Source organism: Homo sapiens, chromosome 8 (genome assembly GCF_000001405.40).
Source record: "Homo sapiens chromosome 8, GRCh38.p14 Primary Assembly".
Taxonomy (NCBI): Eukaryota; Metazoa; Chordata; class Mammalia; order Primates; family Hominidae; genus Homo; species Homo sapiens.
In genome coordinates this window covers 39596171-39613829 of record NC_000008.11, presented here as the reverse complement: position 1 = coordinate 39613829, position 17659 = coordinate 39596171, and the positions used below count along the sequence as shown (strand labels likewise).

Below are 17659 nucleotides of genomic sequence, written 5' to 3'. Positions count from 1 at the left end.
ACTATGAAACTCTTCTAGTGAATTTTTCAGCTTTATTATAGCAGTTTGATTCTTTCTTTAAATGGCTATATCCTCTTTCACTTCCTCATTGTTTAATTGGATTCTTTAGATTCCTTAGATTGGGTTTCAACTTTCTCCTAAATCTTGATGATCTTTATTGCCATCCAGATTCTGAATTCTAAGTATGTAATTTCAGTCGTTTCAGCTTGGTTAAGAACCATTGACAGAGATACAGTACAGTCATTTGTAGGTAGGAAGACACTCTGGCTTCTGAGTTGCCAGAGTTCTTGTGCTGGTTCTTCCTGATCTGTGTGGGTTGATGTTTGTTTAAAGTTTTTGTCCTTTGGGTGGGGCTTTTTGCTTTTATATTCTTTGATGCTTTGAGAGTTTGACCATGTTTGTAAGTTGGGTTCAGTCAACCGACTTTGTTTCTGGATGATTTTAGAGGGCTCATACTTGGTTTAGTACTCCTGGGCTGCATGCTCTAACCCTGGGGGGCTGAAATCAGGCCCATGGCTTTGTTCTTTGGCCCATCAAGGTTAAGTACCTGCTGTGCTTGAGAGGCCAAGTTATTCCTGATATGCTGGCAACAATATTCCATTTGGGGGTGCTGTCAAAAGTGCTCTGTCAGGGTGATGGCAGCAGGGTCTGCACTCCTGCATGCAGACCAGCAGTGGCTGGACAGTGGTGTAGCAGGGTCTGCATGCATGTATGTACCTGTGGTGGTAGCGGCATGTTGGGTTCGATGCATGCATGCATGGCAGCAGCAACAGGGAGACATGGTGGAGTCCACGCATCCAGGTGTGTTCTAGCGGTGGTAGCTCTATGGGGTCTGCATGTGTACATGTACTGGCAGGGGTGAGGCTGCAACAGCAAGGTCCATGCACACATACCAGAAAAATAATGGGGGAGGCTATGGGTGAGTGTGCACCAACAAAGTGGTGGGAGGAGGCTATTAGCACATGCATGTTGGCAAGAGCCCATTTGCTAAATCTCTCCAATGGTTAGGCAGGGTCTGCTGATGAAGGAGCTATGGCAGCAGCAACAGGGAAGCATTCAGGTTGGGCATCTGAGGTTGTGCTGCAAATGAATGTAGCCAAGGAGGAACCCCAGAAGAATATGTCAGACAGTAGGGTGCTCAAATCAGAATGGCCTTGTCCCACAGGCAAGGCAGGCTTGTTTTGTCCAGGTCCAACAATCAACAAAAACCAAAGCCACCTAGAGGAGTGTGAAGAGCCTTGGGGTATGAGCGCTCCTGGCTTTACTCCACTGCAGCTCTTCCTGAACCAAACCCCCTGGGTTCTGCACAGGCTGGGGTCCTGTCCCTGCCACTTCTCCAAGCAGCTCTCTCTGCCAGATCAAGTGTCTGTGGGGGTCATGGGGTCTCCTGCAGCTAGAATTCTGGAGGTTTTTATAGTGAGAGTGGGCCACTCCTCTAACATTTAACTCACCTCTTCCCTAGGAGCTGCTGGGAGCCAGGGATGAGTCCCAGTTCTTAACAGCCCTGTGCAGGGTCCCCAGCTTCCTCCCCATTCAGCACAGGGTCTACATCCTCCCTCCACCCACCCTCAATTCCTTCCTTCCAAAGATTTGCTCAGAATGTGTTGATCTTCTTTGTCTGGTTTTCCGGTGGGAGATAACCTTCCTGGCTGTGTCCAGTTGGCCATCTTTGCTCTCCTCCCTCCCTTTTTTTTTTTCACTAATTAAGCCACATTATTTCTTTTAGCTGGATAGTATAATTCATTTACATTCAAGGTAATTGTTTATGGGTAAGAAGTTGGTATTACCATATTCTTATTTGTTTTCTAGTTGTTTTGTATAAACTTCTTCATTTTTTTCATGTCTTGCTATCTTCCTTTGTGGTTAAGTGATTTTTTCTCTATCAAGTATGTTTTGATTTCTTGCTTTCCACTTTTAGTGTGTCTGTTAAAAATGTTTGCTTTGTGGTTATCATGAGGCTTAGAAAGAACATCATATAGTCTTAGCAGGTTATTTTGAACTGATACCAAATTAATTGTGGTCACAAGAAAAGGAAAAAGAAAAACTCTATTTTTTATACATTTGGTTCCCATCACAACCTATAGGCACTTTTTTTTTTCTCCACATGTTGGATAATGATTTAATCTGCAACCTCAGCTTTTTGATGTATTCCATAAAAATAATTAATGTGCAGTTTGTCCAACTTTTACTCTGATGTATATGTGGAAGCAATGCTGTTTCCAGCTTTCCATATCTCTTACCTGAAACCAGAAACCCGAGAAGAATGCTTTTTTTATTTATCCCAGTAAATACTTTTGGCAATAATGAACTACAAAATCGAGACAAATTTTAAAGTAGAATAAAAGTGTGAAGTCTCTAGGAACCATACAGATAGTTGGTTTCATAGCTTCATGGGATTTTTTTTTTCAGGATTCACACAAGCTAATTTAATTTCAAAACACATCCATTTACAGACCCAAGAAGTGCTTTGAGCTCCAAGTATGGTAAACACAAAGAGATCCATTCATAGAAACATGATAAGCACACTGCCATAAGACAAAGGCAAAGGAAGAATCTCAAAAGAAACAAAAGAGAAGCAACTCATTTTGTCCAAGGAATTCCCAATAAGAATAATAGAATATTTTTATCAGAAAAAACAGAGGCCACATGGTGATGGATTGAAATATTCAAAGTGCTGAAAGAAAGAAACTGCCAGCAAGAATTCTATACCTAGTCTACCAGCAAATTAAGAGCATCTGGCAACATGCAAATGGCTGTGCATTTTAGAAAGATATGTTCAGGTAGTATGTAAGATATATAACAAAATATTAAAAGTAATTTTACCAAGGTACTAGAATAACAGTGACTCTGTTCTTTCTGCATTTCTAAACTTTTTCAATAGTATCATTTTGTTTGAAAAAAATATAAAAATTAATGTTACATAATACATCATAAAATATTAAGCTTGAAATATGTAACTTTCCAAATATTTTAGATGAAGTTTCAATGTTTTATTTAAAGGTAGAAAAATACATAAAATTTAATATTCCTACTCAACAGCTAACTAAATTCCTTTCATGATTTACAAGAAAACTACACAGGCAATGTTCTAGTATGTCATAACATCAGAATGATGACAGTCACCTGTGAGTTTAAAGGAACTTTGTAGGGCTGGTCTTTCTGCCAAATATGACTGTAATTTACTGCTAAAATGGATACATTTGGATCATTATTTTTCATTTGATAAATTATATGCTCAAATCTTGCTGAAGATTCTACTGGTTCAATTCCATAACTGATATTTTCAAACTGGAGAAATCCCCTGAAAATTTAGAAGGCATAAGAAAATAGTTATAAAAATCTCACAAATGATCCCTTCAAAATGATAATCTGAAATGGCATAAGAAATTAAAAAACTATACTAAAGAACACATTTTAAGCCCATTTTCTTTTTCCATTATTTTTTGGGGGGGCAGTTTATCATTAGTAAGAGCCACCATATCTGGCTTCGTTTTGCTTAAATTTTAAAGATCTAAATGCAATAAAGAACATTTTTGTAAGGCAATCACATTAATTAAGGCCAAATTTGCCACAAACAAATATATTTGTTGAGAATTCCAGGAAAAACGTTCCTGTTCTTCCAGAGGTTTGATAAGGGACGGCATGTATGTAGACTATATATCTAATGAGGTTGTTATCTATAAAAACCACATTCAGAGAATGCCAAGTTTCTGAGTTGATGTGACTCAATTCTGGAAATCAGGCAATTGAAACCAAAGGAAAGTTAGAGGGAGCATTTTTTCTCTGCTCCGGATCCTTTTTTTCCTGATGAACTTATCATAAGTGAGACTCCCAGCATCACTAACAGAAATCACTTATCCCTATCCTTTATTCCTGAGGGATCTTCTTAACTAGTTGTTTTATATCTGGTACTAAGCTGAGACCATACTATATTTTCCTATTATATTTATATAACTAACTAATGCCATTTTCCATAACTATTTGAGAAAACAGATGCAGAATGCAACAATCATACTTAAGGAGATATTTTAAAGTTTTCTTCCATGAAACTATTCCATTTTCCACGATAACCCTGGATTGATTTCATGGGAATAGGCCCTTAGGTCTAAGTATTAACATTAATACAAATAGAATAAAGCTGTTAGAAAGAAAACTTTCCATTTTGATTTCCCTTAAACTTCCATGATTTGTGTCTGCTAGTCACTAAGTTTTGTTTTAAAGACTATCTTAAGTTCTCCATCTATAGATTTCTTATAAGGTGCTATTACCTGAGACCAGAACATATACTGAGTGTCACAAATGAATTTGGAAATTCGGCAGCATATCCTTGGTAATGGCAATGCATCTGAAAAACAGTATAGAAAGGCAAGTATATAAATTCGTTGTGAATAAAAAATGTATTGTCAAACATGTCAGAAGATTCAAAATATTAAAAGATTTAATAATAAGATCATTAATTATTAATGCATATTTTCAGAAAAAAAAAGATTTGTGACAATTCTCTTTATTTTGCACCACAGGCACAAGAGAGTCCCTGTGAGTATTCGCTTGCAGCTGGGTTTCATCTCTATCACATGCCATTTCTATGTACAAAAGTCAGTAACATGTCAGTAAGGATAAAACATTTGTATTAAACTGTCAACATGAAACACATTCTAATGGTAATAATATAACCACTTTAACAAAAAAAATAAGGTATCTTACTTTACCATAAAATATGGAGACACAGAATGCAAAGATCCAGTTTCATTATATGTATAAACCAAAAAGTTCTGGGGTAAGAATGATCTAAAAAACCAAGAAATAATAAAAAAGTATGAATCATAATCTTAATATAATGTTAAAAACAAATATTACATACATTTTATATAACACGATTTAATTAGCTTTATATAATGGCATGATTTAATTGAGTGATTTTAGTGAGGCATAACAGTTGAAATTCATAGAACTGGTGAATCAAAGAGTTTAGACTTAGCACTGGGACAGACTCTGGGATTCCTCTGCATCAGACATATGTATGTATAGCTGTGTATGATGACGTTCAACAAATGTACTGAGTGTTCACTATCTGACGGACCCTCATGTAGGTGCTGGGATTCAGAGTTAGGCAAGAGACAAAAAGCCTTAGTCTTTGTGACAGCCAGGGGCACATAGTACTAGCAATTAGATGACAATAGATAAGGCCTGGGGAGGGTGGTTACAAAATGTAGATAGGGTGGCATGGAAAACCTCTCTGAATAGATGATTAAATACCTGAGGAATAAACCACATGAATTTTCACAGAAGTGTTATTCTAGAAAGAATTAATAGAAAATGCAAGGACCCTCAAGCAGAAATATGCTTTGTACAAACAAGGAACAACTAGGGGGCAATATGACTGGAGTGTGGAGTGATGAAGACAGACTATAGTAAGAGACAGTGTCACAGAGATGAGACGCATTGGAGGGTTTGAGCAGATAAAGACAGCATCAGACCAATGTTTTAATAAAATCAGCACTGTGTTGAGAATAATCTGCAGGACAAACAAGCAGAAGAAACAGGGAGACATTTAGATGTAAGACATGATGGTGCTTTGAACTAAGATAGCATCAGTGGGGTAGGTCTAATTCTGGATATATTTTGTAGGGTTTAGATATAGATATAGATATATTTTGAATACAGAGGTTTATAATCCACTGGAAATAGGGGAAAACGACAGAAAGATGTCAAGTATGACTCCGACTTTTTACATGTTTTTTTTTCCTGAAAAACTTATATATTTGCCAATTCCTGACATGACTGTGAGAAAGACAAATTGAGAAGAAAGTCAGAATTCCATTTGGACATGTTACCTATGAGGATTCTAGTAAATACTTGGTTATCAACTAAGTACTCAGATAAGTGAATATGGCATTTATTTAAGAGGAATAAGGTAGAGATGTTAATTTGGGAGCAACCAACATGTGGATGGTATTTAAAGTCACAAGAATTAAACAACCAGATGATTGAATATAGCTAGGGGGAAAAAAAAAAACCAGAATGCAGAAACCATACTATGGAGTACTCTAAGATTCGAGAGATGAGAAAGAATTAAAAAAAAAAAAATAGAGAAAGGAGAGACAGAGAGAGAGTGAGAGAGCACTGAAGTACCCAGAGTACTTCAGAGTAAAATCAGGAGCAGGAGTCTGTGGTATTCTGGAAGCCAAATGAAGAAAGTATTTTACGGGGGAGACACTGGTCAACTATGATCAATGCTGCCAACTGGTTAAGAAAAATTAAGACTAAAACACAAACAGAGCATTCAAAAACATGAGGACCACTGATGATTCTATCAGAAAACACTTGTGGAGTTGTAGAGGAAGAAAAGTAAACGTGAATTAAGTAGGGTAGTCATGAATTAAGTGAGAATAATTTCCTCTAGCCTTGTTCAATTACAAAGAAGCAGGCAGACAAGGGACAGTTGCTATAAATACATATGTTTGAAGATGCAGACAGAGAAGAGGCTACTTTATTTTTATAAAATGTTGAGAAAATACAAATCAAGATACAAACAGTAGATTGTTGCTTGGAGTTGTGAGTGAGAAAGAGGCTAACTGAGAAAACATGAGGGCTCTTACGTGGGGAAAGAATGTTCTAAAACTGATTTATATTTGATGGTGGCAACAGTGCACAAATTCATTAAAATTATTGAACTTTATACTTTAGAGAATTTTACATGTAAAGTAGGTTCAGTAAACTTGTTAAAAATAGACACACTTGTAATCAGCATATCATAAAAATTGTGTCACTAGTTGAATTTCCCACCATAATCACTTGATGTGTAACTTGTCGTATACATCCAGATGGCCTGAAGCAAATGAAGAATCACAAAAGAAGTGAAAATGGCCAGTTCCTGCCTTAACTGATGACATTTCCTTGTGAAATTCCTTCTCCTGGCTCAGAAGTTCCCCCACTGAGCACCTTGTGTTCCCCGCCCCTGCCCGCCAGAGAACAACCCCCTTTGACTGTAATTTTCCACTACCTACCCAAATCCTATAATCCCCACCCCTATCTCCCTTTGCTGACTCTCTGTTCGGACTCAGCCCGCCTGCCCCCAGGTGATTAAAAAGCTTTATTGCTCACACAAAGCCTGTTTGGTGGTCTCTTCACACGGACACCAGTGACATAACTATGTTTGATTTCACACCAGATATACTTAATATATAACTTGCTGTTCTTGGGTTCAACGGCTTATATGCAATTTGAGATTTTACAAGTATGTAGTTTATTTCATAATTTGAAAATATCAAGCGAAAATTAAAATGAAAGAGCTCTATAGATCTGATATTCAAAACCTAATGAATCCTAAATTGGGAAGTTGATTGATAAAACAAGTCTACATTATACAGCATTCCTGAATTTAAATACTGCACAAAAACTTTAAGGCTGTAAAATCTAAACTTAAAGCTTTCCCTTTTCCTTAATGAAAAAAAAATCATATCTTACTGTTTTCCGAGATGTAGAGTGTAAGGTTGTCCATCAATTGTAATGATGTAAATCATCTAAAATAAAACACATCAGTAAAGATTGTGAAGGAAACCAGAAATATATAAAATAAAACAATATTCATCCAAGTTAATAAAAAGAGTCTATCTATTAAAAATGAACATAATCTTTAGAATTTATTATTCTAAATAGTAAGAATTTAATATCTTAATAAATTCAGGAACAATGTGACCAATTTAATGTGTGGGGTGACTTTTTAAAATAAAAGTGAAGGGGAACTGTGGTATATATACATGATGGAATACTACTCAGCCATAAAAAGAAAGGAATTAATGGCATTTGCAGTGACCTGGGTGAGTTTGGAGACCATTATTCTAAGTGAAGTAACTCAAGAATAGAAAACCAAACATCACATGTTCTCACTCATAAGTGGGAACTAAGCTATGGATGCAAAGGCATAAGAATGACACAATGGAATTTGGGGACTTGGGGGAAAGGGTAGGAAGGGGCTGAAGGATAAAAGGCTATGAATTGGGTTCAGTGTATACTGCTCGGGTGATGGGTGCAACAAAATCTCACAAATCACCACTAAAGAACTTACTCATGTAACCAAATACCACCTGCTCCCCAAAAACCTATAAATAAAAATAAAATAAAATAAAAATGAAAAGTACATTTTTAAAAAAATATATATATTTAGCATTTTAGCATTATTAACACTATATTAACTGCTTCTATTTAGAAAAACACTTGCATTTTTAGTCAAGATAAATTAGACATGGCTGCAGGCACACATGCCACACAAAATATAACGAACCAGTAACAAATTTTAATATATACATACATATGTGCAGTCATACCTATTTAGAGACATTTAGCATCTCTCTCTCAACATATAAAACTGTGGAAAAAGAGCTAAGAGACTGAAAGCAGACAAGAAGCTAGTGAGGAAGACTATACCTCCAGGGACAAGAGTTATAAACTATCACAAATTGGGTACTAACAATGCTCATGATCCTATTGTGATGGCATCCAGAAACAGCAGGTGATGCCATTAAATTCTTCAGGGGGGCGTAACTGGACTAAGTCTACAGATGCAGACAGAGGTCTATCCTACTAAACCCACCATTTCTCTTCCAAGGCAAACAAATGTCAAGAGAAGTCTCTAATTTTAAGCTGGAACAGTCTGTGAATTGGGTAGAGAGAAACAGGGCAATACTGCCTATGACTGGAAATGGCAGAAAGAAAAAGGAGCACACAGGCTCAGAAGGCTATCTGCTCATCACCCAGACTGGAGGCAAATCTCATCCCATTATTCCCTTAAACCAATGTAAGCTACTAAGTTAAATCCAATGCATTCTCCCAGACTGAATGCAAAACAAAGGCAGCAAAAGGTCTGACACAATCTCCACTCCAATGGCAAGTCCACAATAAAAATCTATCTAACTTCTGAGGTACATCTACACCAAGAAGGGACAATAACAAATTCAACAAATAAAAGGAGTAATTTATCAAATCACTCCTGAGAAAACCATAAAGTGTGTTGTATTAGGCTGTTCTTGCATTCCTATAAAGAACTACCTGAGACTGGGTAGTTTATAAAGAAAAGAGGTTTAGTTGGCTCACCGTTCTGCAGGCTCTACAGGCATGGGACCAACATCTGCTTGGCTTCTGGGGAGGCCTCAGAGAGTTTTTACTCATGGCAGAAGGTGAAGCAGGAACTTGCACATGGCAAAAGCAGAAGCAAGGAGGAGAGTGGGGGTAGGGGGAAGTGCCACACACTTTTACATGACCAGATCTCACGAGAACTCACTCACCATTGCAAGGACAGCACCAAGCCATGAGGGATCCACCCCCATGACCCAAACACCTCTCACCAGACCTCACCTCCAACACTGAGAACCACATTTCAACATGAGATTTGGAGCGAACACATATACAAAACTGTATCATGTGTGAATAAAACAGGACCTTAATATAAGTATATTTAATATCTTTAGAAAAATAAAAATAGACATTATAAGGAGTAGGGATTGAGTGTAACAAAAAACTAGTTCTATAATTTTCTAATGCGTAATGAGGGCTTATCAAATGCCTAGTATGGTCCGAAGCACTTCGTATGTTTTTTTGTAATTTTTTATCCTCAGAAAAACTATTTTTCATTTCAAGAAACAGAGATTAAGTAACTCTCCAAAGATGATACATCAAATGAGTGTAAGAGCCTGGCAGAGAAGCAATGTGCTTTACCACTGTGTGACAATGCCAGCATGTGGCGAAGAGCAGAGAGTTCTTACTGAAGAAAAGACAGAAAATCATAAAAATGAATCAATTATAGATGATATAAATGACCACGTAACTGATGATTTTTAAGTAAATCATTATCCTGAATAAGAGTCTGGCTATATCTGAAAGATAATTAGTGAGGTTGAACATCAAAACTAGAAAGTTTCTGTGAATTAAACACAAAAATATTTTAAAAGTGAAAGATCTGAAAGAATAAATAAGAAACAGAGAAGCTATTTCCAGGACTTCCAATATCAACTAATAAGAATTTAAGAAGGCAAAAATAAAGTGAAAGAAATATTAATAGTTAAAAACTACTACTTCAAAATTGAACACATAAGTATTATCATTTAATGTGCTCATCAAGGGTCATATAGAGAGTTTAAAACACAAAACTAACAATATAGGCTTACCTCAGAGATGTTGCAGGTTTATTTCCAAACCATTGCAATAAAGCAAGTATTTCAATGAAGCAAGTGATGTATATTTTTTGGTTTCCCAGTGCATATAAAAGTTATGTTTACACTATACTGTAGTCCACTGAATGTGTAAAGCAAATTATGTCTATAAATGTTCAACCTTAGTTAAAAAATGATTTATTGCTAAAAAAGGCAAACAGATACAAAACGAGCACATGCTGTTGTACAAGTGGCACAGGTAACTTGCTTGACACAGGTGTGAATTGCAATTAAGTAAAGCACAATAAAATAAGGTATGCCTGTAGTGAGGGACACAGAATAGCCACCAAAATTTTGAGAAGAAAGAACCAAGTTTGGAGAAATTACCTTATCTAATTTCAAGATTTTCCTCTAAAGCTATCATAATCAAGACAGAATGATATTGGCAAAACAAAATGGACGCACAGAAAAATGGAATAGAAAAAAGAGCCCAGAAATAGACCTTCAACTGATTTTTGAAAAAGATTCAAAGGCAGTTCAATGGAGAAAGGGTCGTCATTTCAATTGACGGTGATAGAACAATTGGATGTCCACATGCAAAAAGACGAATCTCAATACAGACATCACACCTTGCACAAGTGTGCAAGATAGAACAATTGGATGTCCACATGCAAAAAGATGAATCTCAATACAGACATCACACCTTGCACAAGTGTGGAAAGAAATTGTAGACTTAAAGGTAATACACAAAACCACAGAATATCTAAAATGAAACACAGGACAAAAACCTCTGTATTCCTGGTGTTGATGATGAGTTTTTAGATATGATAGCAAAAGCATAATCCATACAGGAGAAAAAAAATACAAGTTGGACTTCATTTTTGTGAAAATACTAGCTCAAAGAAAGACATTATTAAAAGAATGAAAAAAAGCTATAGACAGGGAAAAATATTTGGAAATCACATATCTCATAAAAGACTTAACTAGAGTACATAAAAAGCTTTTGAAACTCAAAAACAAGAAACAACCCAATTTAAAAATGAACAAAATGTCTGAATCTTACAAAGAAGATATACAGATGGAAAATAACGGTATATTTTTAAAATCTTAGACCAGAAGAGGGATTTTGCAAGAGATTGAAGGTCAAGAAGGTACACAAGAGTGTGGCAGAAATGACCCTAAAGTTCTCATCTGGATTCAAGGCAGTTCCAGTAAGGGTGGAACTGTGACTTTCAGTCTATTACATGAGACATGGTCACCTATAAAATCATAAGAGTAATGCAAGTCAAAACCTTAAACTCTATAGCATGGCTTCTATCAAAAGAACAAGCAACAGCAAATGTTGGTGTGTACGTAGAGTAATTGGAATCCTTGTGCTGGTGGAAATTTAAAATGATGCAACCATTACAAAAAATACTAGAGAGGTTCATCCAAAAAATCACATAAAAATAGAATCATATAAAATATAGAATTATTATATGATTTAAAACCTCACTGTGGGGTATGCATCCAAAACAATTCAAAGCAGTATCTTGAAGAGGTTATCTGCACACCAATGTTCTTGGTATCATAATTAACAATAGCCAAGAGGTGGAAGCAACCCAAATGCCCATCAGTAACGAATAGACGAATAAAATGTGGAAAATGCAACAGATTATTATGCAGCATTAAAAAAGAAGGAAATCCTACTACATGCTAAAACAAGGTTGAATCTTGAGGACACTATACTAACTGAAATAAGCCAGACATGAAATACATCATTTATGTTTGCACTAATATAAAATATCTAATGTAGTCAAAATCATGGAAACAAAAAGTAGAAAGATGGTTGGAAAGGGCTGGGGAAGGCCATCAAGGAAATTAGTATTTAATGGGTATACAGATTCAGTTTTCCAATATAAAAAAATTCTAGAGATTTGTTGCATAACAGTGTGAATTTAATTAACAGCATTGAATCATATACTTAAAAATAGTTACAGTGGTATATTTTATCTTATGTACGTTATTGTACAATACATTTTTCTAAAAGACAGGTAATGTGAGATTGGATAAAAAACCAAGACCCAATTATATGCCCACAGAGACATGGGTTGATTAAGAGAACAAAGAGAAATATATCATCCAAATGCTAATCATAAATAAACTAAATGTGTACATTAAAAACTAAGAAGGCAAACCACGATAATAAGAAATAATATTAGGAATAAGCAGAAACATTTCATAATGATAAAAGTGTCAATTCCTCAAGAAGGCAATATAAATCTAAATGTGCATAAAGCTGTAAAATGCATGAAAAACTCAAATGTGGAGGAAACAAGTATTACTTATAAATGGAGATGTAAACACTTCACTGAGAGCAAAGTGCCACCACCTGGCCCCTGCCACATTGGGCTGGAAGACAGAAGACAGTGCAGCAGTGATATGTTTTGGGTCTGTGTCCCCACTCAAATCTCATATCAAATTGTAATCTCCAATGTTGGAGGTGGGGCATGGTGGGAGGTGATTAGATCAGAAAGGCAGATTTCCCTTTTGGTGCTGTTCTTGTGATAGTTATCGCGAGATTTGGTTGTTTAAAAGTGTGCAGCATCTCCTCCTCCTCTCTCTTCCTCCTGCTCTGGCCATGTAAAGCATGCCTACTTCCCCTTCCCCTTCCACCATGACTGAATGTTTCCTGAGGCCTCCCCAGCCATGCTTCCTGTACAACCTGCCCAACGGTGAGCCAATTAAACCTCTTTTCTTTAAAAATTATCCAGTCTTAGTTATTTCTTTATAGCAATGTGAGAACAGACTAATACAAATAGGAATTGAGACTGTGGGCATTTGGGCCACTTCATCATGTAACTTCATACTGCCTTCAGACACATTCAAAACCCCAGTCATGTTTATACCCCTTCCAATTGATTGTGAAATCCTGTTGTGCATGTCCCACCATAAGCTTTGCAGGTCAGATAACACCCAGTTCCTCATGGGCAGCTCAGGTCCCAGGGTAACCTGGTGCCCTGATTAAGCATTCAGTCTTATTAAGGCTCGTTAGCAAGTCAAAAACTGTTTCTCAAACTGAGAGCAGTTATCCACAGAAATAGCATTAGTGACAGAAAATTAGCAAAGACCTAGAATATTAAACACTATCAATCAACTTGAAATAATTTACATTTATAGACCACACAATCCACCAAGATGAAATAAACACATTTTTTAAATCCACAAAGAACAATTACTAAGATATACCTTATTTTATGCCAAGCTTCAATACTCTAAAAATATTTAAGCCACTGAAAGCAAGTTACCTGGATCCAATCAAATTAAAATATAAATCAGTATCAGAAATATCTAGACAACTTCTCAAGTTTTTAGATATTAAATAACTCACTTCTAAATATTACCTAAGTCAAAGAAGCAATTATAAGAATTTAGAAATAATTTTAAACAAATGATGATTAAAGCCATAATCCATAAAACTTTGTGGCCTGCAGAAAAATAAAAACTGTGATTAAAAGAAAGTTTACAGACCTTTCTTTAACAGTGCTTTAAAAAAATTTACAAATTTATATGTTTTTATTAGCAAGAAATAACCAAGAACAGATGAAAACTTTCTTAAATTATTAAAAGGCATTGAACAAAATCTACAGCTAATGTCAGACTTAATGGTGAATAATCGAATGCATCCTCTCTGCAATCTCAAGAAATAAATATTTATTGACAATTTATTTCACACTTTTTATTGAATATGGTACTGGAGGTTCTAGCCAGTGCAATACCACAAGGAAAAGGAATAACTGGTAGGCAGAATTTAAAAAAAAAAACACAAATTTTTTAAATCTTCAAAACACATGATAATACACAGAAAAAATTCTAAGTAATATATGAAAAAAGTTGCTAGAACTAATGCGTGAATTTAATAATATGAAGGATGGAAGCTCAATATTTAAAATTTAATTTAGTTCTACATAACAACAATGGATAATAAGAATATGCAATAAAAATGGAATTTACACAAGCATCAAAAACATGACATTTTTTAAAAGTTATAAAATATATGAGCAATATCTGTGTCTAGAAAGCTTCAGAAAAATGATTAGTGAAATTAACAAAGACATAAATAAATGTGTGTGTGTGTATATACATATATAAACCCATTGAGATACATCTATTAAAGACATTGAATCGATAATTAACCTTCCACAACAGGAAGCACCAGGCCCAGATGGATTCACTGGTAAATTCTACTAAACATTTAAGAAATAATGTATACTAATTTTCTACAATCTCTTTCAAGAGATAGAAGCACAGGGAATACTTCTTTTTCTATAAAGCTAGATGAAAAATCCTCCACAAAATATTAGCAAATCTTATTCAACAGTGTATAAAATAATTATTTTTATACATTATAAAAACTATTTACATATTTTATACAAATTTTTTTATACATTACAACCAAGTGAGGTTTACCCTAGATGTGCAAAGGTAACGCAACACTTGAAAATCAATTCATGTAATCATCACATTGTCTAAAGGAAAAGAATCACATGAGATCATTTCAATAGACATGGAAAAGGCATTTGAAAAAATCCAGCCTGGCGCAGTGGCTCATGCATGTAATCCTAGCGCTTTGGGAAGCCGAGGTGAGTGGATCACCAGAGGTCAGGAGTTTGAGACCAGCCTGGCCAACATGGCGAAACCCTGTCTCCACTAAAAATACAACATTAGCCGGGCGTGTTGGTGGGTTCCTGTGATCCCAGCTACTCAGGAGGCTGGGGCAGGATAATCACTTGAACCCAGGAGGTGATGGTTGCAGTGAGCTGGGATCGCACCACGGCACTCCAGCCTGGGTGAGAAAGCAAGACTCTCTCTCAAAAAAGAAAAAAGAAAAAATCCAACACCCTTTTCTTTTTTTTGTTGTTTTTTTTTTTTTTTGAGACGGAGTCTTGCTCTGCCACCAAAGCTAGAGTGCAGTGGCATGATCACAGCTCACGGCAACATCTGCCTCCCAGGTTCAAGTGACTCTCCTTCCTCAGCCTCCCGAGTAGCTGGGATCACAGGCATGCACCACCACATCCTGTTAATTTTCATATTTTTAGTAGAGACCAGGTTTTGCCATGTTGGCCAGGCAGGTCTCGAACTCCTAGCCTCAGATGATCCACCTGCCTTGGCCTTTCAAAGTGCTAGAATTACAGGTGTGAGCCACCATGCCTGGCCAACACCCACTTTGAATAATAATAACGATGGCGATAAAAATTTTCAGCAAACTAAGAATAGCAGGCCATGTTCTAACCTTAATAAAGAACATCTATTTAAAAAAACCTAGGGCTAACATCATACATAGGTTTTGAAAAACTAGACCCTTTCATGCTAAGATCAGGATCAAGGCACAGATAGCTACTCCTTTCAACATCACACTACCAGTCCTAGCCAATGCAATAAGAAAAGGTATACTAGATTGGGAAAAAAGAAATGAAACTGTCTTTGTTCATAGATGAAAAGATTGTCTATGTAGAAATTCTGAGAGGATTGATGAAAAAACCTTCTGGAACCAAAAAACAATTACAGCAAGGTTGCAGGGTAGAAGGTAAACATACAAAAGTCAATTGCTTTCCTACATACTAGCAATGAAGGAGGGGAATGTGAAGTAAAAACAATGCCATTTACATTAGCATCCAAAACTCAAAATATTTAGATACAAATCTAGCAAAATATGTACAACATCTACATGAGAAAAACTTCAAAATTGATGAAAAAATTAAATAAGAACTAAGTGAAATATTCCATGTTATGGATAGCAACACTAAATATCATTAAGACATTAGTTATTTCCAACTTGATTAATAGATTCAAGATAGTTCCAATCAAAATTCCACTTAGTTATTTTGCAAATATCGACAAACAAATTCTACAGTTTATGTGGAGAGGCAAAAGACCAAGAACAGGCAACACAACACAATACTAAAAGAGAAATACAAAGTTGGAGGACTGACACTACCTGATGTCAAGACTGAACTATAAAGCTACAGTAATTAGCAGATTGTGGTATTGGCTAAAGAATAAACAAATAGAATAATGGAACAGAAAAAAGAGCACAGAAATTGATCTATGTAAATAAAGTAAACTGACCTTTGACAAAAAAGCATAGGAAATACAATGAAGTAAAGACAGTCTTTTCAACAAATGGTGTTGGGACAACTGGATATCCAAACGTAAAAAAATAAATAAATCTAGACACATAACATAATAGTTCACCAAAATTGACTTAAAATTAATAACAGACCAAAATGTAAAATACACAACTATAAAACTACTTGAAGAGAACACAGGAGAAAATCTAGGTGACCTTAGCTATGGCAGTGACTTTTTAGTACAACCCCAGAGGCATGATCCATGAATAAATAATTGATAAACTGGATTTAATTAAAACTGAAAATTTCTTCTCTGTGAAAGACACTGTCAAGTATATGAAGAGATAAACCACAGATTAAAAGAAAATATTTGCAAAAGGCCTATATGATAAAGGACCAAAATATCTAAACAACTCCTAAAACTCAACAATAATAAAATGAACAGTCAGACTTTAAAAAGAGACAAAAACCTAAACAGACATCTCATCAAATAAGATATATGTCAAGCAAATAAGACATATGTCAAACAAACATGAGACCTGATAGTCAGGGAGGCTGTGCATCCATAAGGACAGTGGTATATTGAAAGATTCTGTACTTTCTTCTAATCTTTTCTCTGAACCTAATACTGCTCTAAAAAAATTAATCCTTATACATTATTAAGGAATTGCAAATTAAAAATAAAATATTATTACACATTGATTTGAATAGTCAAAACGCAAACACTGACAACCCCAATTGAAGTAAAGATGAGGAGCCACAGGAACTCTTATTCTTCGTTTGTAGAAATGCAAAATAATAGATCAGCTTTGGAGGATAAGCTGGCAGTTTCTTACAATACTACACATACTCTTACCATATAATCCAGCAATTGTGTTCCTTGGTATTTACTGAAAAGAGCTGAAAACTTATGTCCATACAAATATCTATACAGAAATATTTATGGCAGCTTAATTCATAGCTGCCAAATCTTAGAAGCAGCCAACACATCCTTCAGTAGGTATACATAAATAAACTGTGGTACAGCAGACAATAGATTATTATTCAGTGATAGAAATGAACTATCAAACCATTAAAAGACATAAAAGAATCTTAAATGCATACTAAGTGGGAAGAAAAGCCATCTGAAAAGGCTACATACTTCAAGATTCCAATTATAACACACTCTGGAAAAGGCCAAACTATAGAGACTGTAAAAGAATAAGTAAATGTCAAGGATTTGGTTGGTGGGGAGGGATGATTAGGTAGAGCACAAAGGAGTTTTAGAACAGTGAACTTATTCTGTATGATACTATTAGTGGATACATGTCATTATACATTTGTTCAAACCCACATGGTACACAGCACTAATGTATACTATGAAATTTTGAGTGATGATGTGTCAATATAGATTTGTTAATT

General features: G+C 35.5%; 1 protein-coding gene across 4 annotated transcripts in view; it reads right to left on the bottom strand.

Annotated features, from left to right (window-relative positions):
* The window catches only part of ADAM18 (ADAM metallopeptidase domain 18), a 145498-nt gene that overhangs the window by 116236 nt on the left and 11603 nt on the right, over nt 1–17659 (bottom strand). For 2 of the 4 annotated variants that reach the window (NM_014237.3, NM_001320313.2), the window contains exons 3-6: nt 7468–7523; nt 4710–4788; nt 4269–4345; nt 3124–3301 (exon numbers count right to left, since the gene is read on the bottom strand). In NM_014237.3, coding sequence (NP_055052.1) covers nt 3124–3301; nt 4269–4345; nt 4710–4788; nt 7468–7523 — 390 coding nt within the window. Of the gene's footprint in view, nt 1–2253; nt 3302–4268; nt 4346–4709; nt 4789–7467; nt 7524–17659 lie in introns of those variants that run through there. The other 2 variants (NM_001190956.2, NR_135201.2) reach the window with 2 other exon arrangements.